Source organism: Homo sapiens, chromosome 1, assembly GCF_000001405.40.
Source record: "Homo sapiens chromosome 1, GRCh38.p14 Primary Assembly".
Taxonomy (NCBI): domain Eukaryota; kingdom Metazoa; phylum Chordata; class Mammalia; order Primates; family Hominidae; genus Homo; species Homo sapiens.
Window position 1 is genome coordinate 183,528,555 of NC_000001.11, and position 26,373 is coordinate 183,554,927.

General features: G+C 37.3%; 1 protein-coding gene across 31 annotated transcripts in view, besides 1 other annotated feature; it reads left to right on the top strand.

Annotated features, from left to right (window-relative positions):
- The window catches only part of SMG7 (SMG7 nonsense mediated mRNA decay factor), an 81,693-nt gene extending 56,056 nt beyond the window's left edge, over positions 1 to 25,637 (top strand). For 10 of the 31 annotated variants that reach the window (NM_001350220.2, NM_001394137.1, NM_001394133.1 and 7 more), the window contains 17 exons: positions 338 to 488; positions 844 to 979; positions 4,610 to 4,772; positions 5,122 to 5,278; positions 8,591 to 8,661; positions 9,826 to 9,886; positions 12,430 to 12,549; positions 13,522 to 13,948; positions 15,799 to 15,943; positions 16,376 to 16,758; positions 17,412 to 17,783; positions 18,549 to 18,698; positions 20,654 to 20,734; positions 21,210 to 21,369; positions 22,197 to 22,367; positions 22,491 to 22,636; positions 23,264 to 25,637. In NM_001350220.2, the coding sequence (NP_001337149.1) occupies positions 338 to 488; positions 844 to 979; positions 4,610 to 4,772; positions 5,122 to 5,278; positions 8,591 to 8,661; positions 9,826 to 9,886; positions 12,430 to 12,549; positions 13,522 to 13,948; positions 15,799 to 15,943; positions 16,376 to 16,758; positions 17,412 to 17,783; positions 18,549 to 18,698; positions 20,654 to 20,734; positions 21,210 to 21,369; positions 22,197 to 22,367; positions 22,491 to 22,636; positions 23,264 to 23,377 (3,008 nt within the window). In that variant the 3' untranslated portion in view covers positions 23,378 to 25,637. The remainder of the gene's footprint in view (positions 1 to 337; positions 489 to 843; positions 980 to 4,609; positions 4,773 to 5,121; positions 5,279 to 8,590; positions 8,662 to 9,825; positions 9,887 to 12,429; positions 12,550 to 13,521; positions 13,949 to 15,798; positions 15,944 to 16,375; positions 16,759 to 17,411; positions 17,784 to 18,548; positions 18,699 to 20,653; positions 20,735 to 21,209; positions 21,370 to 22,196; positions 22,368 to 22,490; positions 22,637 to 23,263) is intronic. The other 21 variants (NM_001394134.1, NM_001394140.1, NM_001394136.1 and 18 more) reach the window with 4 other exon arrangements.
- Positions 15,308 to 15,357: a silencer, noted in NCBI's record as "silent region_1632". NCBI's record gives its function as "represses an Ori minimal core promoter by ATAC-STARR-seq in GM12878 lymphoblastoid cells {active_cell/tissue: GM12878}" and the evidence as "EXISTENCE:reporter gene assay evidence [ECO:0000049][PMID:35858748]".

A 26,373-nucleotide genomic window follows, 5' to 3' on the forward strand; every position in this document is an offset into this window, starting at 1 on the left:
TGTTTCATATTTGTTTATGGCTGCTTTCACACTACAGTGGCAGAGTTGAGTGGTTGTGATAGAGACCCTTTGGCCTACAAAACTGAAATTATTTATAATCTAGCCCTTGCTGAAGCCGCTCTCTACCCTAATATTGACTGTTTAACCTGTATATGATAGTGTGTACTGTCGCTGAAGTGTGCTGTTGGACCTTACGCTGGTTTGCAATGAGGCAGTCATATTTACCTTATAAAAATACTCCCCATTGTTTGAGTATTTAAACACTGATCATTTGTATTCTTATAGCAAGACTTTGTCACTCTTGGGGTTACTCCAGAATCTTAACTTTCTCCTGTAGGTCAGCCTTATAATCAGTTGGCTATCTTAGCTTCTTCCAAAGGAGACCATCTGACCACAATTTTCTACTACTGCAGAAGCATTGCTGTGAAGTTCCCTTTCCCAGCTGCCTCCACTAATCTGCAAAAAGCACTTTCTAAAGCACTGGAAAGGTAGGGTTGTTTGGTTTTTTTTTTCTCTTTCCAAGAGGACTTTGTAACCTGGAGCCTTAATTCCTCATAATTTGGTTTACAGAAAATAACGGCCTATGCTTCTCTTATTTCTAAACATATAGATTTTTCATAATTTGTGTATAGTCACTGAATTTCATCCAATCAATATCTGATTCAGTCCCAGTAAAAGAGTACACAGGCTGTTAATACTGACTCATCTTGAGTGTGTTGCAGTTGAAAAATCAGTCAAATACAGCTCTTTTGTGTATCAAGTATTTAGCAAGCCAGTGCCTCCTTAAACAGTTGTAGCCAATTTGCTGCTTATGATTCATGGAATTTTTTTCTTTCATTTCAGCCGAGATGAGGTGAAAACCAAGTGGGGTGTTTCTGACTTCATCAAGGCCTTTATTAAATTCCACGGTCATGTGTACCTGAGTAAGAGCTTGGAAAAGTTGAGCCCTCTTCGAGAGAAATTGGAAGAACAGTTTAAGGTTAGATTTCAGAAATAGAGAATTTTTGTCTTGTCTAAATCAGGAAGCATAACATTTGGAGGAAACTGACTCCCAGTTTTTGTAGTTACTTAACTGTGTGAACTATTGGTAAAAATTATATTCGAAGTATGTGAAATCTTTGCATTTATCATCCCTTCAATTTAAACTGAGGTACAGTCTGTATAAACAAATATAATATAGCAGTGTTTTCACTTGAGTAGTTGCCATTTGACAAAAATTATCAAAGTGGAAAAAAATAAATAACTCCTCAGTTTTGAAACTACTACTACTTTTGATGGTTTGTGTATTCTTAGATATGATTATGTTACCTGCTTTATAGATATTGGCATTCTCCAAACCAAGTTCATTATTTTTATTGTGCTTGCATTCATCAGGATTGTGGTAGTTTGAATGAAAGGAATGAGAGTTTCATTTAACAGGGATATATTTTACTAATTTGAAGAGATAACATTAACCTTCATTCTATTTATATATGTGAAAATGATCTTTTATTAGTATGTTAAGATATTAGCAGTTTAAATGTATAATGCATAAAATAAGGAGAAAGTCAAAAGTATTAACTTTTTTTCAGTTCATGTATTCAAATAAATATTTGACTACTCATCGGTCATTGTTTTAGGCACTGTGTTAAACAGTAAATGACAATTTCAAAGAACATTTTATATTTCTTGGTTATTTCTAGGTATCTATATACTTGGGTAATTGTGTATAACTGCTTCATAGTATTTCTGTAAGTTCTTTATAAGTCAGGCATTTTAAGAGATTGTAGAACTTGGACAGTTAAGGTGTCACTTAGCCAAAAATAGTCAATGCGAAATAGTTTTTACAGGTAATCGCTTTTTGGTTGATACTTTCTATGTGCAAGATATTAGAATAGATAATTATAAATAGCAATAGTTTGTTTTGTTTTAAAATATACTTAGCCTGTGACATATGATGTATAAGGTTGGGTGTGTGAAAGGAACAGCTAACTTTGTCATGTCCTAGGCTGTTCAGCCTGGAAAAGAACAAACAAGTCTAAATAGTTTTCATAGTAAGTATTCAGACATGTGAAGGATTATTTGAAAAGAACATACCTGTATCTTTCCTGAAGTCAAAACTAAAATCTTAAATTTTAAGTTGAAATCTATAGGGGGCTGACCGTGGGATGTTGTGGATTCTCCATTTTGGAGAGCTTAACAGTCAGATTGACAGCCATCTTTCTTGGATTATTTAAGTGCAGTCCTACTAAATAGGGGATTGGACTAGAAAACTTCTTGAGATTGCTTCCAGCTCTGGTTCTGTGAAATACTCTCTAAATTGGTGGTGGTGGGTGGTCCCTACCTTAATGAGATCTTCACTAACTAAGTTATTCTAGTCTAAAAACCTAGTAAGTTTTGCATTTGGTTCAACCTCAAACACTAACACTCTCTTCACATATATATTTCTGTATGTGAAGTTCTGGTAAGTGTGGGTGGGCAGTTTCTAAAATATACTTTGAAGTATCATTCCAGCACTCTAAAGTTAAACATAAAACATAGTATGAGGCAGATCTATTTGAAAGCTTACCCAGTGTTGAACTAGAACATTGCTGGAGTGAAATTTTAACATAGTGGAGTAAAATTTCCAAAGTATTTCTAAAGCATATGTAGATAATTAGTATCATCAACATGTATACTTCAGTGTTTCTAACAACCTTTAGCTACTAAGCAGAAATGTTTACCAAGTTGAGGTCCACTAAGGGATTTAAGGCCTGGGATCTGGGAATTGAGATGTAATACATTTTCTGTAAGTTAAATGTGGGCTGTTTGTTAATGGTATTTATTTCAGTATATTTCTCAACTGTAGTTGAAAGTTTGAGTAGCAAAAATCTTATCAGTTCTAATCTGACTTTATTCCTTGGAAGACTCTCTACAATATAATCTAAATTTTAGGAAATTACAACTGAATAACTTCAACCTTATTTCTGAATGGATAGGTTGTTCATTCACTAAGTGTTTATTAAGTACCCGCTATGTACCATGCACTTTTCTAGGCTTTTAGAGATATAGGGGAAAACATGACAAAGTCTGGACCTTCATGAACTTATATTATCATTTGTTAGTACTAGGGTGTATTCATATTCATTAATACTTCTGTGCATACGCTAGAAAATTCTTTAATGGGCTGTGACCCTCTTCAGTAGGATATTGCCTTCTAAAATTAATGCCAGCGGATTTATAGATACAGGAAATACATTACCATATTGTGCTTGTAAGAAACTGCTTTTTGAGAAATACAACTACATATTCTCATTTTATGCCAGTATTATTTGAATAAACGCCAGCTGATTTAGAAGGTTAGTTGTAGAAACTGAAGGAGAAATTTTGTGGGAAAATTCTAGAGAAGAGACAGGATTTCAGGAAATTTTGAGGAAAGATTAATGCTTGATGTCTTTGGAAAAGGGCTAATCATTCTAGACATATACAATGAAATAGATTGCAAGAAGACTGACAGTGTGATAGAAAGAGTTCATGTAGAATGGAATTATATTCTCTAATGATAATGTAAAAGACTTCCCTCTTAGAATCGTAGAGCTTACTATGGCTATTTCAGGTTCTTTATGTAAATAAAAACAAAAATCTCAGAGTAGTCTGGGCAGAGACAGCTGTAAGTTTCTGACATGGTAGGATCTCCTGTCACTGCTGGTAGAACTGTAAGTAAGGATTATCTGTTTTCCGCCATAATGCTAGTGATAATGAATCCCTGCTCTCTGCAAAAATTTCCCCTGGGCATAGAGGAAGACTGGCTATGGCTAAAGTGTAGGATGAAACTAGGAACTTCTGTTAGAAAAGTATTTTTGCCTGCAGGTAATCTAAAATAATTGCAGATATTAAAGTAGAAGGGTAATTCCATTGAGACACCAACTGAGAGCATCTGGGTGATTTTTTATAGTGCTGGTTAACAGATCACTGTGAACACAGTTATTAGAAGGTAAATGAAATTTGATGATCACGCATGTACTTCTCTAAGAGGGGAAAATACCAGTTGATAATTTGTAGAAGTACCTATAATACATCCTAATGTTGTTTTAGTATGCCATTTACCCTGTGTTCCAGAATATGTACTTGCTATGCCTTGTTTATAAAATAAGTTTTAATGTATCAAGCCTCTGAAAGAGTAAATTTTATGACAAATCTGGGAAGTCATGCTTTATGTACTGGGAGTTCAAAAAATTATTTTTTGAGTCTGTTGCTTTCTAGTCATTTGTCCCAACTTAATATTTTAATATGTATACATCTTGTATAAAACAATTTCTAAAGGATTAAGTTGTATAAATTTATGGATGAACACTCAAAGACTTTTGTCAGGTCATATTTAAAAATATATAGTTTCCTAGGAGAAAAAAGTTTGTTGATAAACAATTCAAACAACTCTGTGGTGTCTAGATTAATTCCTTTCAAGACAAAAAGTCAGTTTGGGAAATAATTAGACCCAGTCAAAATACTGGGATTGAGGGCAGAACCATTTACTCATCTGTAATTCTATTACACATGGTGGTTCTAAATGCAGACTACCAGTTTAATTTCTTGTGTCAAAGATGGTTCCTGTTCTTGATAATATATGCAGTACGTCTGTCTTCTTTTACAGAGGCTGCTATTCCAAAAAGCTTTCAACTCTCAGCAGTTAGTTCATGTCACTGTCATTAACCTGTTTCAACTTCATCACCTTCGTGACTTTAGCAATGAAACCGAGCAGCACACTTATAGCCAAGATGAGCAGCTATGTTGGACACAGTTGCTGGCCCTCTTTAGTGAGTATTGAATTACTTAACATGTGCCATCTTTTTTGAAAAACATCATCTTAGGCATTTCATCGATGTAGCAAAGCACAGTGACATAAAAAAGCATAGTGTATTTCTTACACTGAATCAGGAGTTCATAATAACTTTCAACCCCAAGTTCTATCCTTTTATCTGCTGATACCCCCTCATCAAGTTGTAACTATAACATTTTTAATATGGGAAAGAAAGCGTCTTTTTAGAAAGAAGCTGTAAGATACTCAAGTGTTAAACAGAATATAGTAGAAGGCACATAATATTTTAATTTGAACTGGCACAGTTTCATATTTCTTATGCTTTTTGAATACATTTTTTTTTCAAGTGTCTTTTCTTGGCATCCTGTGCAAGTGTCCTCTACAGAATGAGTCTCAGGAGGAGTCCTACAATGCCTATCCTCTTCCAGCAGTCAAGGTCTCCATGGACTGGCTAAGACTCAGACCCAGGGTCTTTCAGGAGGCAGTGGTGGATGAAAGACAGTAGTAAGTATTTTTAGAATTTCATGTTAACTTGTGTGCTTTGTTTGTTTGATATCCATAAATATGTAAAAACTGCCTTCTAAAATACAACATTTGAACAATAGAATACTGTATTTTCTGCCGACTCTCGGGAATTGAACTGAAGACCTCTTTGTACGCTTTTCATTTGTTTATTTGAATTCTTCATGTGAGGCTTAGTCTTAAGGATTTGTGACTCCTTGTACACTCCCTTGTTCCCAGTTGCTGTCCTGGGGAAAAGGCATTTTTCACATTTCAAAGTGAACTTGAAGTAAAACCAGTTTGTTTCTTATCTATTACAGTATTCCTTAATTTTTTGTTTGAGTTGAAGGGAAGAGATTTTTATTCCATTTTTTTCTGTACATGAACTGTTTGATGTTGCCTTACAGTAACACTCAATTTGAATAATATTTGTTTATTTGAAGCATAAAGATTGAAAGTTATTTTGATTCTCACCATTTTCTCTGTCATCTCTACTCACAGTAATTCTGACAGCTCTTAGGAACCATTGATTTTACAATGACAAATGAAAACTTTCAGTGTACCTTTGATTATAGAAATAAATACTTCCAAGGTGGCTTGGCACCAAATAGGAAGTTCCTCCCCTGCATATTTTGATGGTATATTTAAGGAGAATCTCTTTGAAAGTTTTGCTTTGTGGCCCAGCATGTATATTGACCAAGGTCACAACTTAGAAAATGCCTTTTTTAAGCCACATTTAAGACCCTGTGGGCCAAGCACTGTGGCTCATGCCTGTAATCCCAGCACTTGGGGAGGCTGAGGCAGGCGGATCACTTGAGGTCAGGAGTTTGAGACCAGCCTGGCCAACATGGTGAAACCCCATCTCTTTTACTAAAAATACAAAAGATATTAGCCAGGCATTGTGGCATATGCCTGTAATCCCACCACTTCGGGAGGCTGAGACAGGAAAATCGCTTGAACCCAGGAAGCAGAGGTTGCGGTGAGCTGAGATCGCGCCATTGTACTCCAGCCTGTCTCAAAAAAAAAAAAAGAAAGACCTTATGGTCTGTCTGCTTCATAATTGTCTTTTCTCTCATGTAGTTATAAGCTCTTTCCATGATATATTGACATTATCATGAATAGAGTTTAGGAACATAGCACAGCATACTATATACATCTCCTTTTAATGTTAGCATTGGTTTTAGTAATACGGATTTTCAGACATTGCTTCCTTGCATAAAATTTTTATTTCTTAACTCAGGCTATACAGTTTTTCTACTCTTGTGTACTCTAGAACTCAAATTTATGTTTAATTCAATATATTATATCAGTAATGTTACAAAAGAAGAACTGCATGTTTTACCATTTGCTTATAGAGTTTTTATATTTATGGGTAGGAATTGTTATTTTCATTGTGTTTTGTTTTTTCTTATTGTTGTTCTTGTACAGTGATCCTTTTGGCCCATTCTGTGTGTTCCCATTTCTTCTCATGGCAAAAGATGTTGAACCAGAAGGAACAGCTTTATTGGCAAACATTTTTTCCCTCCATTTTTTTCTGTCATTTACTCTTTCCACTTCCTCCTATCAGATTTACCAAAATCTTTAGAATTATGCCCTTGTAGGTGTTTGATTCTGTGTTAAATTATGTTAGTACTCATTTTAAAGACTAGCATGGGATATCACTTTAAAACTGAAGATTTTTCCTTGTGTGTCTAATACACTAAAGTTATAATGTTCATTTATATCTTTTAAGTAATGGAAAAACAATGACTGTTTCTTTTGTGAACTCAGAATTTTATGTATATTCAAATAATCTTCAGTTTCTTATATCTGGGCCTTCTCAATTTCTAGAATTTACTTTCCCTTGTACTTTTTTGAGAACATACTCTCTTAAGCTAATGAATACATGGAATAGTGATTTTCCTTTGTAGAAAATAGTTATAGGGTAAAGCAGTATATCATTAGGTAATCCACTCATGCGCTTTTTCTACAGTGTTTTCTCGAGAGCTTATGTGTGTTGCATGAAGACATTGTACAGTATAGTATTCTCTTTTAGTTTACTGACCTTTTTTTCCAACTATCTCTTGTAATCTGTTACATCTCCAAAGGTTTGTAGCAGACGTTTATTCTTCAATATTTGTTTATATATTTTTAATATGTGTATATATTTGTTGATATTTTTAAAGTAGCATATTCCCATATTTCAGAGTGTACAACTGTCCCAAATAGTTAACTTACAATTTTCCGTAGTGTGATTATTTACGTCCAGTTTCTCTATCCTGGGCACTTCACCTCATGCTTTTCTTTTTCTTTCTTTCTTTTTTAATAAAAATTGGTTGATACATATTCAGAGGTAAGCTTCATATTAAGGAGAATGTGATTAGACAGATGAGTCTACTGTAGGAAAATCAAAGTAATTGTTTCCAGGCCAAAACCAATTATTTTAAGCTAATTACTTTAACCAAATAATTTTAAGCAACATGGCTACTTCCACCCATCACATCTATTCCTCACCCCAGCAAATGAACACTCAAACTACTTGGATTTGTCTCACTTCAAAAATCTTGCCCTGTCATATATAATACATCAGATTTATAAATTGCTCTTATGTTTGAAAGATAACAGAGATTTTGATACAAATGTTTATATGTAAAGTGATATTTATAAATCTGTATCCATAATGGAAACTTTAACATACCTCACTCAGGAACCAAGGACACAGTTAACAAATACATATATAGTACGTACTTCTGAATAGTGGAAAGAATATGTTCTAATATTTCATGTGTAAGCTTTCACAAAAATTGTGTATTAAGAAACAGAGTTTAGAGTTAAGGCTTTTGTAAAAATGTGGACTTTTTGTACCATAAAAAAAGAGGCATTATCACTTTGAACAGGGAATGTGATTTGTGTGGTATAACCATACCCTGTCACAGATTAAAGAACTAACAGCGGCTTCCACAACTCATAATGTATGTGAAAGCTCTATAAAAACATAGTATGTTATTTCTTTGCTCAGAATTTTCTCAGCCTATTTCAGTTTTCCATGTTTAAAACTGACAAATTATTTTCACCATTTGTTGAATTAGGAGCATGGGAAATGATCTACAGTGGTAGTAGGTCTCTGTCATGGAAATTTGTCCCTTTTGTTGTATCTTTATCATTATCTAGTGTATCTTTGAAAGTACATTTTTAAAAATTATACAGCCTTTGAAATGCTGAAATAAGGGAAAAATACATAAAGTCCAGGACCTATAGATACCATTTTCATGGCTTATTAGTGTTCTGGTTTCTCTTACATAAAAATAAAGTCTGAACTCTTTCTTTAATTTACAGCATTTGGCCCTGGTTGATTTCTCTTCTGAATAGTTTCCATCCCCATGAAGAGGACCTCTCAAGTATTAGTGGTAAGGGCTACCCTAACCTTGTGTTGTTGATGTGGTTCTCCATCATTAATGGTGGCTTAATGCCAGAGAAAAAGAGGTTTTTGGTGATGAATGATTGATTTTAAATTCAGTATCTCAGAAGTGACTGTGAACTCTACATAAGTGGGTGGGTGGAAGTAGATAATGTTCTCCCAGTTCTTCTGGCAGCTTATTCTCATTTAGCATCATTCAAATAGGAGTTCAGAGAGTGTAATACCTTCAGATTCTTTCATTCCTTCCTCCTCATTCTTACTATTTTAAAAAAAGCAATTAACATGAACATTGCTCTGTCAAAGTAATACTTACTCATCGTAGAAAATTTGGTACAAAGAAAAAGAACACAAATCTCCCATACAGAGATACCTTTTACTAGTCACGATAGTATATCTTCTTCGGGCCTTTTTCTTACGTGTGTACACACACACAGGAAATGATTCATATCAAATAAAGTTTTGTGCCTGATTTTGAAATTTAGTATTATATTGTTAGCATTTTCTTTTGTCATTAAGCATTTTGAAAACATGACTTTTACTGGCTTCATAATATTCCATCCTATGGAAGTGCTATAATCTATTTACGCACTTTCTGTTGCTTTAAAATTTTCCCCATTATAAATAAATAATGCTGCACTGAACAACCTCTGGCTTGGCTTCTTTCTGACTTTTTTTTTCCTCTTAAATCCATGCTCCTCAGGCATTAATTTGCACATAAATCACCTGAATCTTTTTAAAATACAGTTTATGATTCAGTAGGTTTGAATTAGTGCCCAAGATTCTGCATTTCTTACAAGCTCTCAGATGATGTCAATGTTATTCAATACTTTCAGTAAAAAGAGACAGGTAATCTAAACATTGGGCTTACTGGATCCAAGACTATGAATTTTTAAGACTGCTGATTTTTTAAAAAGCCATTCTCCTCAGCATTGAGTATTAGGTGAGTGTTAGGGGAATGTCTGTGTCCCAAAGATAACATGCAGAGTTTTGACAGGTGAGTTATTTTCATCAGGATCATGATAAAGAAGAGCAGAGAACAATAAGCATTATAATTTCTTTCTGTATGTTAATTTTTAAAAAAATTTAGTGAACAGTATTCCACCAAACAACATTTTAATTAAAATGTTTGCAAATTTTGATTTTGACCCTTTAGCGACACCACTTCCAGAGGAGTTTGAATTACAAGGATTTTTGGCATTGAGACCTTCTTTCAGGTAGGTGATAGCTGAAGTACCTTTATCATTGCCAGTGATTGCAGTATTAAAATTAGCAGAGAATTGGGCTTGGATGTAGAGGAACCTTTGATCTGTCCCAGCTGTGTGTTATTTTTGTAACGTCAACTAATACTGAAAGTTGTTGTGAATTGGATTTGTGTATGTCACGCCTTCAATTCCTGTGTAATAAAAATTAAAATGTAACCTTTCCATCTGTGCCCTTGATCCCATCCCTTCTCACCTCCCTAAGAACCTTGCTCCATCTGTTATCCTCTCTGCATTGTATTTCCAGTGTCTTGTCTTTCTTTCCTTTCTTTTTTAAACAACTAATTATCTTTAGCCTAGTAACATTTAAGTGTGCCCCATTCTTTTAAAAAGGTAAAATGAATTTACATCCCTCTATTTTCCTACGTTGCCTTATCTTTTCATCATCAAACTTCTTAAAAAGAGTAGTATGCACTTTGGGAGGCGGAGGCAGGTGAATCATGAGGTCAGGAGATCGAGACCATCCTGGCTAACCCGGTGAAACCCCGTCTCTACTAAAAATACAAAAAAAAAAATTAGCCGGGCATGGTGGCGGGTGCCTATAGTCCCAGCTACCCAGGAAGCTGAGGCAGGAGAATCGCTTGAACCCAGGAGGCAGAGGCTGCAGTGAGCTGAGAGATCACGCCACTGCACTCCAGCCTGGGTGACAGAGTGAGACTCCGTCTCAAAAAAAAAAGAGTAGCGTGGGCCAACCTGACTGACTCCACTTCAACTCCTGATCATTTTCAGCCTACTGTGGTTTAAACTATCAGTGCCTTCTAGATACCAAAATCCAGTGACTATAGTCTTTATCCTATTGAATTTTCTTCAGCATTGAGTCCGTCGATTTCCTTCCTTCATGAAACCTTTTTCCTTAGCTCTGTGATGCAATTTTTCCCACCCTTAGCACTCAGTCTTTTTCACTATTTCTTTTAAACTACATGCCTCTGAATGTTGTTGTTTTCCAGGATTCTTTTCTTGCCCTTTCCTTCTCACTTTGTACATTCACCCTGTTAATCAAATCCATCCCTATGTCTCTTGAATGGTATGTCCCAAATTTTCAGCTTTGACTTCTCTTGAAGTTTGGATGCATATTCTAACAATCTGACCTCCCTTACGCATTTTAAACTTTAACGTGACCAAAAACTGAGCTTATATTTTCCGATTTGGTCAGCCAAAAAGCAATCTTCTTTCTCTATTTTCTGTCTGTGCCTGTGGCATTACCCATCTATATGACCAAGCTAGAAATCTGAAAAACCCTTGTTTCTATTTGTCTTTCTCACCAAGCCTTTATAATTATGTGTCTGAAATGCTTCTTAGGTTCAAGTCCTTCCGTTTATTTCCCTATACATAGTTCAGGCTTTTCTCACCAGTTTACCTGAAGTATAAAAACCTTCCTACGTATAGTTCTTCTCCTCCTATAGTCTGTTTCTACACTGCCTATAGTTTTTAAGTATGGAAATAGTGATGTTGCATGACTAATATTTTTATTTACCCATTCCCAGTTGCTCCACTGTCTCTTTTAGCTTGATGCTCAAGTTCCAGCACTATCCAGCTCCTAGTTGTTCAGCCTTATTTTCTTCCATTTCCCCCAGTATTTATAAACTCTATACACTATGTGCTATACTTGAATAGCTCACTATTTTTATTCCTCCACACCTTTGTTCATGTTGTGCCTAGAACATTTCCTTCTCCTCTACTGCCCTTCCATCACCAGCCTGGTAAGCACTTAGCCATACCTGTCAAGGTCCAGCTCAGGTATCACTCTATGAAACCTTTCAGAGCTTCTCAGAAGGAACTCATCCTCCTTTTACTATATTCACTTAATTCTTTACATAGTTCTTATTATGCTTATCAGATTGAATCATAATTATTTATTCCCAAAGGTAGGGACTCTTATTTATCTTTGTGTCCTCAGCATCTAGCCTTCTGCCTGGCAATTCTTAAATCTTCTTAAAAAAAAAAAAAGTTTAATAAGGAGAAATCTGAAAAATCTTTATTTTTTCAGGTTGGTTTACCCTTCTGATATCAATGAGTTATTCTATATGCTTTACGATATTTATACATTTTTCTGATTTAGAATGGTCCACCACAAAGTGGATAGATTAATATTATTTATTAAAATAGGCACCTCAGAGACTCTTAGCATTGCCATGGTCATTTCAAGCAAATTACTTGGCATGCAAGATAAATGTTTATAAAACTTTATTCTTAAAATGATAAAAGAATCTTTCCTAATAAAAAGTTGTGGTTTATTTGAGCTCCCTGACTAGAAAGTGAAATGTGAGTAAAAATATTACATTAATGTAATGAATTTGTATATTTTCTTTTCTGCTTTGTTTCATAGTTTGTAAAAATCTCTGGTAGTATAAATTCTAATAAATGCAGTTGATTACATCAAGTAGCTAACCTATGTGGGAAGTAATCTGAAGCCATTACAGTTAATCAGGTGAACTTGGTTGCCTGGAAAATATCTTTAGCAATTTAATATTCTCATAACTTGCTTGTGTCAATTTTAGGAACTTGGATTTTTCCAAAGGTCACCAGGGTATTACAGGGGACAAAGAAGGCCAGCAACGACGAATACGACAGCAACGCTTGATCTCTATAGGCAAATGGATTGCTGATAATCAGCCAAGGTAAGTCTGGAACTTCTGGTCTACCCCTTTTTAACCACCTTTTTAGATAAACACATGCGCGCACACGCGCGCGCACACACACACATCTCATATGTTACGTATTTTAGGCTTTGGTATAAATATTGTCAATCATGAACTCTTAAATCGACATGTTGGTAGCACAACATCTAATTATAACCCTAGTGAGTAAGTATACTCTTTATTTAGAATCTCTGTTCTCCCTATTGTGTATTACAGAGGTCTTTCTTGTTTATCGTGAGTTTCTGCTCTAATTTATAAATATCTCTGTAAATCTAACTGAACTGTACTTTCACAGTCATGGTAATTTGTATTGGCCTGGGCATGGTAGTCAGTTTCAGGCAGGACAGACCAAGATCGTGCTAGTAGCCAGTTAAGTACAAAGCAGATGTGGTCGTTAGTGTAGGGAAAAGAACGCAGGTTTTGTAATTCCATTGGTTTGAGTTCCGTTTCGAGTTCCGCAGCTTCTCAAGTGGGTGTCCTTGGGATCTCCCCAGTAGATTATAACCTTTCCAAAGTCACTAACTACTTCCTCATTTTTGTATTCAGGTTTCTGTCATACAGTAGGTAGTTAAATGCTTCCATGTTTGAATGAACTTACCACCTCCAAGCTTCAATTTTCACATCTATAGAATAGGAATTATATATAGCTACCTTATAGGACATATCAAGGGCCCTAGACCAGTGTCTTGCACTTGAAGCATGCTCAGAAAATGTAAATTCTAGCAAACGTTGAAAGAGCCAGAGGGATAGGTTGTGACGATGTTAAGTGTGATAATGAGAACCTCAGTTTCTACATAACTACTTTTTGTGTTACCTGAATCCACATTGTTATATCCTGCTGTTTTCATGGTTATTAGTGCTAGGAATATATTGACTTGGATCCACACACAATTCAGTTGTTATTTTTTAAGTTAATGTTTTTTATATATGGATTTATTTTTGCTTTTTTAGGCTGATTCAGTGTGAAAATGAGGTAGGGAAATTGTTGTTTATCACAGAAATCCCAGAATTAATACTGGAAGACCCCAGTGAAGCCAAAGAGAACCTCATTCTGCAAGAAACATCTGTGATAGAGTCGCTGGCTGCAGATGGGAGCCCAGGGCTAAAATCAGTGCTATCTACAAGCCGAAATTTAAGCAACAACTGTGACACAGGAGAGAAGCCAGTGGTTACCTTCAAAGAAAACATTAAGACACGAGAAGTGAACAGAGACCAAGGAAGAAGTTTTCCTCCCAAAGAGGTGAGAAGGGACTATAGCAAAGGAATAACTGTAACTAAGAATGATGGAAAGAAGGACAACAACAAGAGGAAAACTGAAACCAAGAAATGCACCTTAGAAAAGTTACAGGAAACAGGAAAGCAGAATGTGGCAGTGCAGGTAAGCTGTATTTGAACTATAAAGCAGGTAGAGGAAGGCTCACACAAAAGGCAAGATTTTTCATTTTGTTCTAAAGCCATGAGAATTGGCCGTCCTGGAAGTTTAAATGCATTATTTAATTGCATAGTAAGGTTATATAAAGAGCTGTGATAGATGGTTACTTTTTCAATTCTTGGGAATTGTGAGTGAAAAAAAAATCTCAGCCTGATTTGACACTTTCGTCAGTCTTCACCAATTTAAGCAGTTTGAAAGGATTAGTTGCAGAGTTGTCAGTTTCACACAGGATTATATTTTATTTAGAAGATATAACTACCATTTGTCAATGCTATAGTGGAGATTTGGGGTCTTCTGTAGATCCAGTAGAACCAAGAGTATATTAAGGCTTATGCAGTTTTTTTTTTTAGATTCACTATAATATATATATATGTGTGTGTGTGTGTGTGTGTGTGTGTGTGTGTGTGTGTGTGTATTTTTTTTCTTGGAAAAATATGAGACTTTTTTATTGACAATTATACTTGTCCCGGCTATTGGTATTAATATCACTTTAATCTTATCCTGGATCCTGGGAATTTATAAAGGAAGAACCCAGGTTTCTTGCTGGGAAAAGATAAGCACTGCTCAGTTATTTGTGACTTTCTTTTTATTAATATATTTTCCCAAATAGAAAAGATGGTTTCATGTAAACAGAAAAGGGCCTTTATTCTGTGATGGTTTTATTAATACTATTAATGTTTGAATAAATACTTAAGCAGCCATGTGAGTTGTTAACACATTTTAGCAAATGTATGTGTTTGCATGAGAAACTTTACATTGTTGAAGGCTGCTTACAAATAAATAGTACCTTTGAAGTATTTCTCTAATTTTTTTGAGAAAGAGAAATAAGAAAATAATAGTTCCATTTTAACATTATAGCAAGGAGAGAAACAGAAAGACAAGGTAGAAATTAAGACATAGGGGAGAGAGAGAGATGCTAGGGAAAGGCAAGAAAAAAAAAAATGAACTAGAAAGCCAAAGGATCCGAGTTTTAGAGATAATGAGTCCAGCATTTTCTGTTTACCTTTCCTCCATTCTCTGTAACTGCTCACAATAAGGTCCAGACTGAAAATACAATCTCCTTTTTTGGTTTCTCATCCATCTCAAATCACCTATAAATGATTAAAGAAAGAAAGAGTAAACATATCACCACACTCTGTACCTCGTCCTGGGTTTTCTATAAATGCTACTCATGTTCCCTCATTTTGCTCAACTTTGAGCAGTGCATATGACATCTACTCTCTGGCTCCATCTATAGGATCTCAGGGCCTGTTCCTTACTGCTGAAAGTATCCTTATTTATTCTGAAGGGTGGTAAAGTTGCAGGGTGGAAGGTGGATGCCTGACTGCACATATGGCTACCCAGATGAAATCAAACTGAGGGCCAAAATAACTCACCTATGGGTTAATAGTCATTATTAGTTCATAATTCATGTATGTCGTTTAATGAATTAGAGTATAGAGAACCCTGGGCCCCAGAACAAGCAACTTAAAGTCATAGACAAGTTTTTTTCAACTTGTTAGCATCAGGCATCTCATTTGTAAAACAAATGGGCTCTAAGGTCCTTTACATTTTTGGATTTTTGTGATCATGGGAAAGCAAAATAATTAGTAAAACTAAGATAGTAAAATTATCTTTTATTGGCTATTAAATAATTTGCTTTGATTTTCCATTTTTAACTTAGGTGAATTTAAATATCTTCAGCATGTACTTTTTGATCTAATGAGGTTTTAAATACTTTCTTAGGAGTAGGGTCTTCTTTCTAGCACATTTGAGTTTCAATTTATTATAGATAGTTTTGCTTCTATTGGTTACAGGTAAAATCCCAGACAGAACTAAGAAAGACTCCAGTGTCTGAAGCCAGAAAAACACCTGTAACTCAAACCCCAACTCAAGCAAGTAACTCCCAGTTCATCCCCATTCATCACCCTGGAGCCTTCCCTCCTCTTCCCAGCAGGCCAGGTAAATATGTTTTGTAATTTCTTCTACTTAATCTTTTCTGTGCAAGAATTTCTATTCAGTCACTGAGAAATGTGTTTTCTGTTGGAGTAATGTTACTAAGCCATAAAAAGTTCTATTTTCCCTAATACTTATAAAATTATTTTTGAACTGTTTGTGTGTAGTGTACATACAAGTGCATGTTTGTTATTATGAAGGAAATCCTATCACTAAATACAGAAGCTACTCACAGAACACTGATTACTTCAGTGGATAGAGGAAAAATATCAAGTCTATTTTTAGTTCTTCAAATCAAGTTAAAGATTGACAACATGACTAATCTCTTTTGTGATGTGTTAGAAGACTCCCTCTACCTACCTGTTAAAAAAAAAATGACTTTTTTTGCAATTTTTTGCTGTTTCCTTAAAACTAAAGCTGTGTTCTTCTGTTTTGAAGGGTTTCCGCCCCCAACATATGTTATCCCCCCGCCTGTGGCATTTTCTATGGGCTCAGGTTACACCTTCCCAGCTGGTGTTTCTGTCCCAGGAACCTTTCTTCAGCCTACAGCTCACTCTCCAGCAGGAAACCAGGTGCAAGCTGGGAAACAGTCCCACATTCCTTACAGCCAGCAACGGCCCTCTGGACCAGGGCCAATGAACCAGGGACCTCAACAATCACAGCCACCTTCCCAGCAACCCCTTACATCTTTACCAGCTCAGCCAACAGCACAGTCTACAAGCCAGCTGCAGGTTCAAGCTCTAACTCAGCAACAACAATCCCCTACAAAAGCTGTGCCGGCTTTGGGGAAAAGCCCGCCTCACCACTCTGGATTCCAGCAGGTAAGTTACAGTTGTGTGTACTATCCAGCTGAATGAAATAAGGGGAAATGCTGAAAGATTCAATGTTAGAAATGCTCATTAAACTTTGACATACTTCTTGCTTAGATTTATAGTGATTATGGGAAAACAAAAGTATTGTCTCTACTGTTTATGAAAGTTCAAATGTTTTCCTTACTCTTGTAAAGGATAAAATACTAGATCTTAAGTACCATTCTTGGCTGCTACTAAGTGTCCATTTTATTGAAAATGGATTTTCTGCAAATAATTCTCCTATAGGAACATAAACTACTAGGGAAATAGAATCACAGTCTTGATGAGGTGCTAAGACAGATGTGACACCAATCTTAAATGTTGTCGTTGGAAGCACAGCACTTGAAGCAGAAAGGGGAAACAAACACTCTTATGCAAATATATTCATTCATTCATTAAACCTCTTAAATAGTTGAATTAAAAGAAAATATGAGTGTGGTGCCCATAATCTGTTTCCAAAAAGCTCTGAGTATTGAATAGCCCAAAAGGTAAAGGAAACTGCTGCCTTGCCTAGAGTTTTGTTGGTTGGAAAACACCCCAAGTTCATTCTGTGATTCTTTAGCATTCATTATAAGTAATATTGCATTTTATCCTCACCTTTATGACAGGCGTCTCTTTTTTAGTATCAACAGGCAGATGCCTCCAAACAGCTGTGGAATCCCCCTCAGGTTCAAGGCCCATTAGGGAAAATTATGCCTGTGAAACAGCCCTACTACCTTCAGACCCAAGACCCCATAAAACTGTTTGAGCCGTCATTGCAACCTCCTGTAATGCAGCAGCAGCCTCTAGAAAAAAAAATGAAGCCTTTTCCCATGGAGCCATATAACCATAATCCCTCAGAAGTCAAGGTCCCAGAATTCTACTGGGATTCTTCCTACAGCATGGCTGATAACAGATCTGTAATGGCACAGCAAGCAAACATAGACCGCAGGGGCAAACGGTCACCAGGAGTCTTCCGTCCAGAGCAGGATCCTGTACCCAGAATGCCGTTTGAGGTGTGTGTTCTTTCCTATCACCAGGCAATTTGGAGATAGGTCTGAGGTTGACTGTCTTTTGAATATCTCAAATAGATCTTATAAAAAGGCCACTCTTATTCGTTAGTACTATAGAATGCCACTGAGTATTGGTGTAGCTCTTGGTTTCCTCCTCAGAGTTGCACAGTATGTTTTAGTTTGGAAGCTGAAGAATTCCGTAACTGATTTTGAACTCTGATGGTCTGGCAAAGAAACCATGTACAGAAATCTCTAAAACAGCATGTTAGAGAATTCTGAGACAAAGCACTCCTCTCAGTTGGGCTGAATCATCTAAGTTTAAAAATAGGTTTACTGATATTTAAATAAATTGCTCTCTGAGAGGAACAAGGTTAGCCAGTTATCTTGGACAGTGGAGGTCCCTTTCTTTGCCCTTTTTATTCATGAGAAACAGGTGAATGTTAGTAACTTTTTAAAAGATCTGTTTCTCTGTTAGCACAAGATATGCTAATCATTTTGCTCCATAGCATTGTTTTACTCACTAGCCACATTAACCTTTTGTGTTCTGCTCTGTCAGTATTTTTGCTTTTCTATTGTCTTGAACTTTCTCCATTATTGTCCTTGTGTCGCTTTGCCTTTGCATTTCAGAGCGTTTTTTCTCTTTGCCTAATACCATCTATCTCACTATCCCCTTGACTTTAGTTGTCTTCTTCCACCTAATTATGCTACTATTCCTTTATGCTTTTGTTATCCCTTATTGCTTCTCACTGTGATGCTTTCTGTCACTAGGACCCCAAGAGCTCCCCTCTGCTTCCTCCGGACCTGTTAAAGAGTCTGGCTGCCTTGGAGGAAGAGGAAGAGCTGATTTTTTCTAACCCTCCTGATCTTTACCCGGCTCTGCTGGGGCCTCTCGCCTCTCTTCCTGGACGAAGCCTTTTTGTATGTATTTGACATAATTCTGCTTCTTGGTCTAACCCCCAGCTGCTTCTCTGAGATACTGTAGTACACAGATTAGGTGATTTCTTCTCTTCCTGGGGCTGTCCTTTTCAGAACTGTAAAACATATTTTCTAATTGCCTAAACCAACCTTAAGTTGGTAGTAGGATATAGCAAAACATTTCTGCCTTTATAGTTCTCCCAAATCATGGAGACATACCTTGGTTTTATGTGTTATCCAGAAAGCATTCTGCAGAGCTGGTCACACACACGATGTGATGGTGACAAATTAACTCACTTTGCAGGTGACACTTCCATCTGGACCCAGAAATTTTAAGTATCATTTAATCTTGCTTAGGAACAGTGAGATTTATTTCTCATATGTAGCCAAAATATGAAAGGAAATATGTTCTTGATTTTTTTTTTGACTGACATTACTGAACAGTATATGGCTCTTTTTTGTTTGGTTAACTAAATGCAGAAAGAGCCCTGATCTAAATTCAAAGTTGGATTCATAAACAGAATGAGTAAAAATGAAGAGGATTCTATTTATAAACATTGTCAGAGTGTCATAAATGAGTAAATATGAAAATAACTAGAATCACATAAAATAAAATCTGAGAACTCAGCCTGCATTTCAAAGAACATCATTCTATATGCTTGTCAGTGTTCATATTATATTTTACTGTGGGTGGGGAGTATAAAAGATGGAAAGAAAGATGTATGCTATGAGGCTTTTTCCCCTCTCTTTATTACACCTTAATAAAACATAAAAAGATAGTAAATTTTACTTTCTTGCTGTTTCTTTCTCATAAACACAGGGCAAGAACACATTCGTAAAATTAAAGTACATTAATTTTAGTGTCAAGAGAAATAAAACCTTAACAGCTTTCATGACATTGCTGCCATCCCTGGCACTTGAAGTTCCCTTAAGAATTTGCCTGGGTAGTAGCAGTAGGGGCCCCATACCAAGTTATTAAATAATAGCAATAAAAGATCCCCCTGGAGACTTAAATGGTAGCAGTGCCATGGCTGAGCGCACAGGGATTGTGGAAGCTCAGCTGCTATACTGTTGCCTCTCTATGTTTGCCTTTCTTGTGGCTTTTATGCTAGAGTGGCTTTAAGGACTGAGGGTAGTGCTTCTCTGTCCACTTGTTTCCTAATCCCTTAGTTCCTGTTCCTGTTCCCTTAGTGTCCCTTTCATTGGAAATGGAGCTGATGGTAGAACAAGTGGGAGTATTTTCAGGGTTTTTTTTTCATGTTTAAAAGACAACAATGAATAAAAAAAACTTCGACTATAACCCTTCCAATATTTAACATTAATGATACAACGTATGTCAAAGTGCTTCTCTTGTCGTAGGTATTTAGTAATGTTTTATTAGCCAGCTATTCAGTGACAGCATTAGAGATTCAGCTTTGTTTCTCCTAATAACTTTGCTAGGGCCAATAAATGTAAGCTTGACTTTTAGCAACTGTTTTACTATATACTGCAAATAGAGCTGCTTAAAAAGCATATTAACAAAGCCATTTGTCAAATGGATTTGAAAGGCTTTTTAAAAGTCACCAATGTTAATGTTTTAAAAATTGTGGGGTGGAGAGAAACAGTGTTGGAACAGTTCAGCATTTTGTTTTGAGATTAAGTGCAACTATTGACAAGGGGATTCCTGAGGTCCATGCCTCATAAACACTCAGAGTGCTGTTTACCAGGGTCTCTGGTCCCTGCCAGAATATAATCTCTGACTAGGTTTGATCTAAAAGGAGGATTCTATGCACCTGTGGCAACTGGCACTTAGGCGGTGTCTTGGTGTTAACAGATTTGAATTCACATCTTCTGAGCCTCAAATTGTACTCAGTGGGCGAATACAGGCATGCTTTTGCTTTGGTTCCATAGTATGGTAAGATTAATATTAAGAAAATAGAAGGTATAACTTAATTACCTTTTTTTCTGGGACTGTGAAGAAATCCTTATTGGAGAAGCCCTCAGAGCTCATGTCACATTCATCCTCTTTCCTGTCCCTCACCGGATTCTCTCTCAATCAGGTAGGTGAACAATGAAGAATCCTGCTGTGTGCTTTTAGTGTAGACTGATCATTGTCTTTCTCATACTGTTTCAGTATGTCTGTTTTTTCTTTATTTTCCATGTATTAGTGTATTCCAGATATTTGATTTTATCCCCCTTGTCTCTGATTGGGGCATACTAGTGACTTGTACATCATGAATTAAAACCCTTTAACTTCTCATTAATATTGAAACCCTTAGGGCTCTCTTTTTGAGCCAAATAAATTATTCACATTTTCAACCTGGATAGTTTACACAGAGCAAATTTAAGGGTGAGAGAAAGCAAAGAGGAAAATTAATTTGACTGGAAAATTGAAACAAAAAGAAATAAAAGCCTTCAAAATTTCTCTTCCTAAGAAAAGCTTAAGGTGTACCAAGCATCCATGAACAAGACATTGGATTTTCTCAAATCTCTTTCCTTGGGGTGAGTTTATAACTTCACTGTCATGTCTTTCAGGAAAGATACCCAAATAATAGTATGTTCAATGAGGTATATGGGAAAAACCTGACATCCAGCTCCAAAGCAGAACTCAGTCCCTCAATGGCCCCCCAGGAAACATCTCTGTATTCCCTTTTTGAAGGGACTCCGTGGTCTCCATCACTTCCTGCCAGTTCAGGTATTAACTACTCTTTAAATTATAGACCTTACATTTCCTGTACACTCAGATTGATTAAGGGATAGTGAGATTCTGTAATTACAAATATATCATTTGTTGGGTTATTTTTATTTTTTGTTTGTTTGTTTTTGTAACTTCTGAAAGGAAATAGAAAAAAAAAAAGAAGAAGCCGGTTTATGTAATAAATGCTACTGACAAAACTTTTTACATCCTCAGTAGCCAGCAGAGATGTAAGGGAGAAAATAGAGGTTCTATCTTATGGTTCTCAGCTGCTTTTTAGTTTTATTTGTAGGTGTTCATTCTTTGCAGAAAAATTGCACTTTTTTTTTTGAGACAGTGTCTTGTGGTGTTGCCCACTCTAGACTCAAACTCCTGGGCTCAAGCAGTCCTTCCATCTCAGCCTCCCAAGTAGCTGGGACTACAGGTGCACACCACTGTGCCCAGCTCTGCACTTTTTAAAATTGAGATTTTTAACTTAGAGTCTGACTTAATAGTAATTCTTAAGGTTAGCAAATTCTTTCTGATACATAAGACCAATAAACATGTATCTGAAATAGCCGTGTGAGAATAGGGCATTCATTCAGTTGACAAAAATTGCCTACTATTTTATTTTGCTTTTTTAAGGCGAAGAATATGCCTTAGATATGTGTGGCAGGGCAAATTAGTGCATCTAGCAGATCTCTTTGGAGCCTTTAGTTTCCCTTTCCTTCAAAGCCCTGTGGTTATTGTTAGTAGAATTTTAGTGATCAGATCTACAGGAACCTGTAGTTCTTTGTATGTTTGTGAAACAATGATTTACTATATCCTGTGTTGCTATTATTTAATAGATCATTCAACACCAGCCAGCCAGTCTCCTCATTCCTCTAACCCAAGCAGCCTACCCAGCTCTCCTCCAACACACAACCATAATTCTGTTCCATTCTCCAATTTTGGACCCATTGGGACTCCAGATAACAGGGATAGAAGGACTGCAGATCGGTGGAAAACTGATAAGCCAGGTGAGATCTACATTTCATTGCCAGGCAAAATTGAAAGAATTTACTCTATCCTTCCCTGGGGTCTGGCAATTGGCAGTGATAGAACATCTTCTTGAATTTTTCTTATCTCTTTTCATCCCTTAGCCATGGGTGGGTTTGGCATTGATTATCTCTCAGCAACGTCATCCTCTGAGAGCAGTTGGCATCAGGCCAGCACTCCGAGTGGCACCTGGACAGGCCATGGCCCTTCCATGGAGGATTCCTCTGCTGTCCTCATGGAAAGCCTAAAGGTGAGTAGATTTCAGGAACAAGAACCACAAGATTATTACAGCAAAGGTGTCTCTGCTTTCATTCACATAAATAGCTAGACTTCTCAGGCCCTCGGAGTTGACTGATACATAGCACATATATAACAAAGTCCTAGAAACATGGTCTGCCTTACAAGATTCTTGAGTGATAATTTTTAATTTCTGAATTCACTAGTGGTAAAGCAGTATCTTCAGGAGGACAAAAACAAAGGTTTTAGTTTCATTCTAAGGTTAAGAAAATTCTGATTCATTTTGGAATGTTTGATTTAAGCCTTTTCTGACAAAATAAGAGTATCTAATTTTAGAAATGTTTTATTTGCCTGAAAACTTTATAGTAAATGCCCTGTGTGGTACCACATACAGCTGAGTTTCAGTAAAAAGACTTGACATAAAATGTGATTTCACTTCTTCTGGTTTAAAATAGTCTTAATGGAAACTAACTAGCTTTAAGAGTCTTATAATGACTTTTTCTAATAGCTGGATTTTTATGGGGAGTGGGGTTGGGTTTTGGGGCCATATATATGCCTTTATATTTGGCTGGGATTGAAAAATCCCTTTCAGACAACTTGGCATTTGACCTCTGCTGACAAGATCTGGACTGTTTTTCAGTCTATCTGGTCCAGTTCCATGATGCATCCTGGACCTTCTGCTCTGGAGCAGCTGTTAATGCAGCAGAAGCAGAAACAGCAACGGGGACAAGGCACCATGAACCCTCCACACTGAGGCCAAAGTGGCAACCTGGGAATGAAGGCTCCATAAACCATGGCATGTTGGGTTTGCAGGACTGGCCCACACAGTCCCCTGCAGGTGGCAGCCCTCTTTTCTGTTTCTCGCTGTCAAGAGGGTGTAAGTATTCCACCAGCCCGCTGAGTGTGCACGAAATGTTCGCAGTGCAACAAAAAGAAAAATCCATCAGGAACTCTCCGTCCCCCCGGGGCCCTCCGGAGGGAGAGAGAGAGGAACTGCTGTTTATCTCACTCAGTTACTTGGTATCACCGCCTCTCACCTTCTCCATCGTGCATGTCCCCAGCCACATGGGAAGTGAAAGCTGAGAAGGGAAGGCAGATGGGAGAAGCCAATGGGAACTTCTCAGTCCTTTTTTCCTCTTTGGGGAATAAAATAGGAATCCATTAATGATTGCTTTGCTGACTGAGAATGTAGTTGAAATTATTCTTAAACATCTTTTATTATTATTACTCTCAGTAGTAAAATATCACACTGAATTCTTCCATACACAGGTGTGCTTCTAGTCAGTGTGTAGCAAGGAAAGCCCCGTTCACTGCTCCTGTGAGAGGTTGGTGGTGACAGGATGGGGAACCGACCTCTTCAGCCAGTGGAAATGTTCCATAAGGGAGAGTTCAAGGCCTGTCAGAAGGCTCTGGTAGGCCTTCCTCTGGCCAGGAGACTCCAGCAGGGAATGCCCTTCACTCTGTAGGTGCTCGAGCCCCAATCGAGGATACAGTGTGGGTGGTGGTGCTGGGCTGGACTAGCAGGTAGACTGCTGTAGGATTTCAAATTACGTTTTTGATTCCTGTACATTTTACAGTCGCACAGCAAGCAGTCTCACAGAAGGCAGGCTAGTCCATTCACAGCCTGACACGTTCTAATAGGTAGAAGCTTTCAGTGTGGTTATTTTTTCTTTGGTTGGTTTTTGTGCCCCCATTCTACTTCCCACCCTCCTGCCCCATCTCCATCCCTTCTTTTACCCAATGCTGTATGCTAGTAATTGTTTTTATTCCTAATGTGTGCAACATCACATCTCCCCAAGAAGCAACAGCATGGGGTCCAGCAGTTGGGGCCCAAAAGACAGTCTGAAGAGGAAGGAAGCAGCAGTATCTGCGTAGCCCACAGAGGGCCCAGGCCCCTGCCCAGCTGCAGTCTCCCAGCCTCCACTTTCAGAGTGAAATTCAAGGCAGCACGGACATGTGCCCATCAGGCACAGAAGAAAACACGACGTCGTCCATTTTGGAAGAGACGAAAGAAAGGAAAATAAACTCTTTGTATGATATTTATTAGGAGGAAAGAGGACTGAAAATGTTCTTGTGTAGAAACAGAAGGACAGCATTTCTGTTAGTCATTTCCTGGAAAAGTAATATTTTAAGGGGAAATTATGGAAACAATCTAATTGTTCAATTGCTGTGCTAGTGGTAGGGTTTATTTTCTGGGAGGTCTCTCCTTTGTGTGTCTGTATGTTTGTGTACACACACGTGCCCATCTGCTGTCCCAGAGGGGAGGGGTTGTGTGTGCGAGTGTATGGAGTTAGTGTGGAACTTAAGAGCTGGAAGACAGCTGTAGAGCAAAGCACATCCAGGAGCCCCAGTTGTCACTGCAGTCTGGGCAACCCCAGCAATGAAAAGGGGTGAGATAACGCTCATTGCTCTTCAGAGAGAGTGGTTGGAGCCCCCCCCGCCCCGTATGCTTACATTATTGCTCTTTTAGTTTGACATGGTGTTTGGGTTTTGTTTTTTTGAAAGGTCTGAAAAGGTGAAGCCCCCTACCCAATGGCAATATGAAACCTTTTGTGCTTCTCTTCAGCCCCTTCCCTGTGTCCACCTTTCTCTCCTCTTCCCAAGCCTTTTTCCTACTACCTTTACCCAGTTTGTGTGTTTGAGCTCTGCATTCAGGCAGCTGCAACATTCCAGTGTTTGAACTGTCACTGATTCTTGCGCCCTAGACAAGCTAACCAGGTTTACCATCTCACTCCCAGTAATACCCAGCTCCTATCTAAAGCCCCATTCTGCATGAGAATTTGGTGTTTGGAATGTTTTCTGACTCTTGGGGCGGGATTCCTCGCCTTATCATCCTCACTGTGGAGTAATGAGGGGGAGGAGAATCTTTATCAGAAACTGGTTTTGTGTAGTAAACTTTCTTTTGTGGTTTTTTGTTTTGTTTTCTGGGTTTTGTTTTTTGTTTTTGTCTGTGCAAGACCTGCAGCTGCTGAAAATCAGCTTTGCCTTTAATTAAACCATGTTCTCTCCAACCAGATCTGTGTATCGATTCTTTCTTTTCTATCCTAAAAGATATAAAAGAAGTATTGAAGAAAATCCAACTTAAAAGGCAAGAATTTCAACTACTCACAGGTCATCCAGGGAAAGGCATAAATGGTCAGAACTTGAATATTTTTCAGGGTTAATTTTGCTTTTAGTAGCATTCCAAACCAATGAATTACGGAAATTATAATTAATTGTAATGGAAAGGCATGAGTAGTAAGAAATCGATTATCAAAATTCTTTTATTTAATAAAAGAATGCCTTATGTTAAGGAATTAAGAGCCCATCATTTTTATTTTTATTCCTATTGTAGCTGTTACTGAGGCAGTTCAGAGAGTTTATCCTTTTGGCCTGTAAAAATTCACTGAATCTGATTAGCAGCAACATTAATTAATTCTTCTTCTTAGCTTTGGGGTTTCTTTTCTTTGAGTTGTGTCCAAAGTTTCCAGTGATTGGTAGCTTGCTGGGTCTTCCAACTGTGTGCTGGAAGCCAGTGGTATAGCTAACCTTAATGCCTGTGTGCTCACCCTGACCGGCTATCCTTTCACCTGCATGTTGATTCAGTCTGCAGTTCACTTCCTTATTCTGCTTTTCACAGGCGCCTGCACACTTGAAAAATTGTTAGCAAAGCTCCACATACGCTACAACAAGAAGTGGGTAGGGAGAGGAACTAAGGCCAGGCCTTAAGGTCTAATAGTTTAGTTAGTTACAGAATCCTTCACCCAAGTT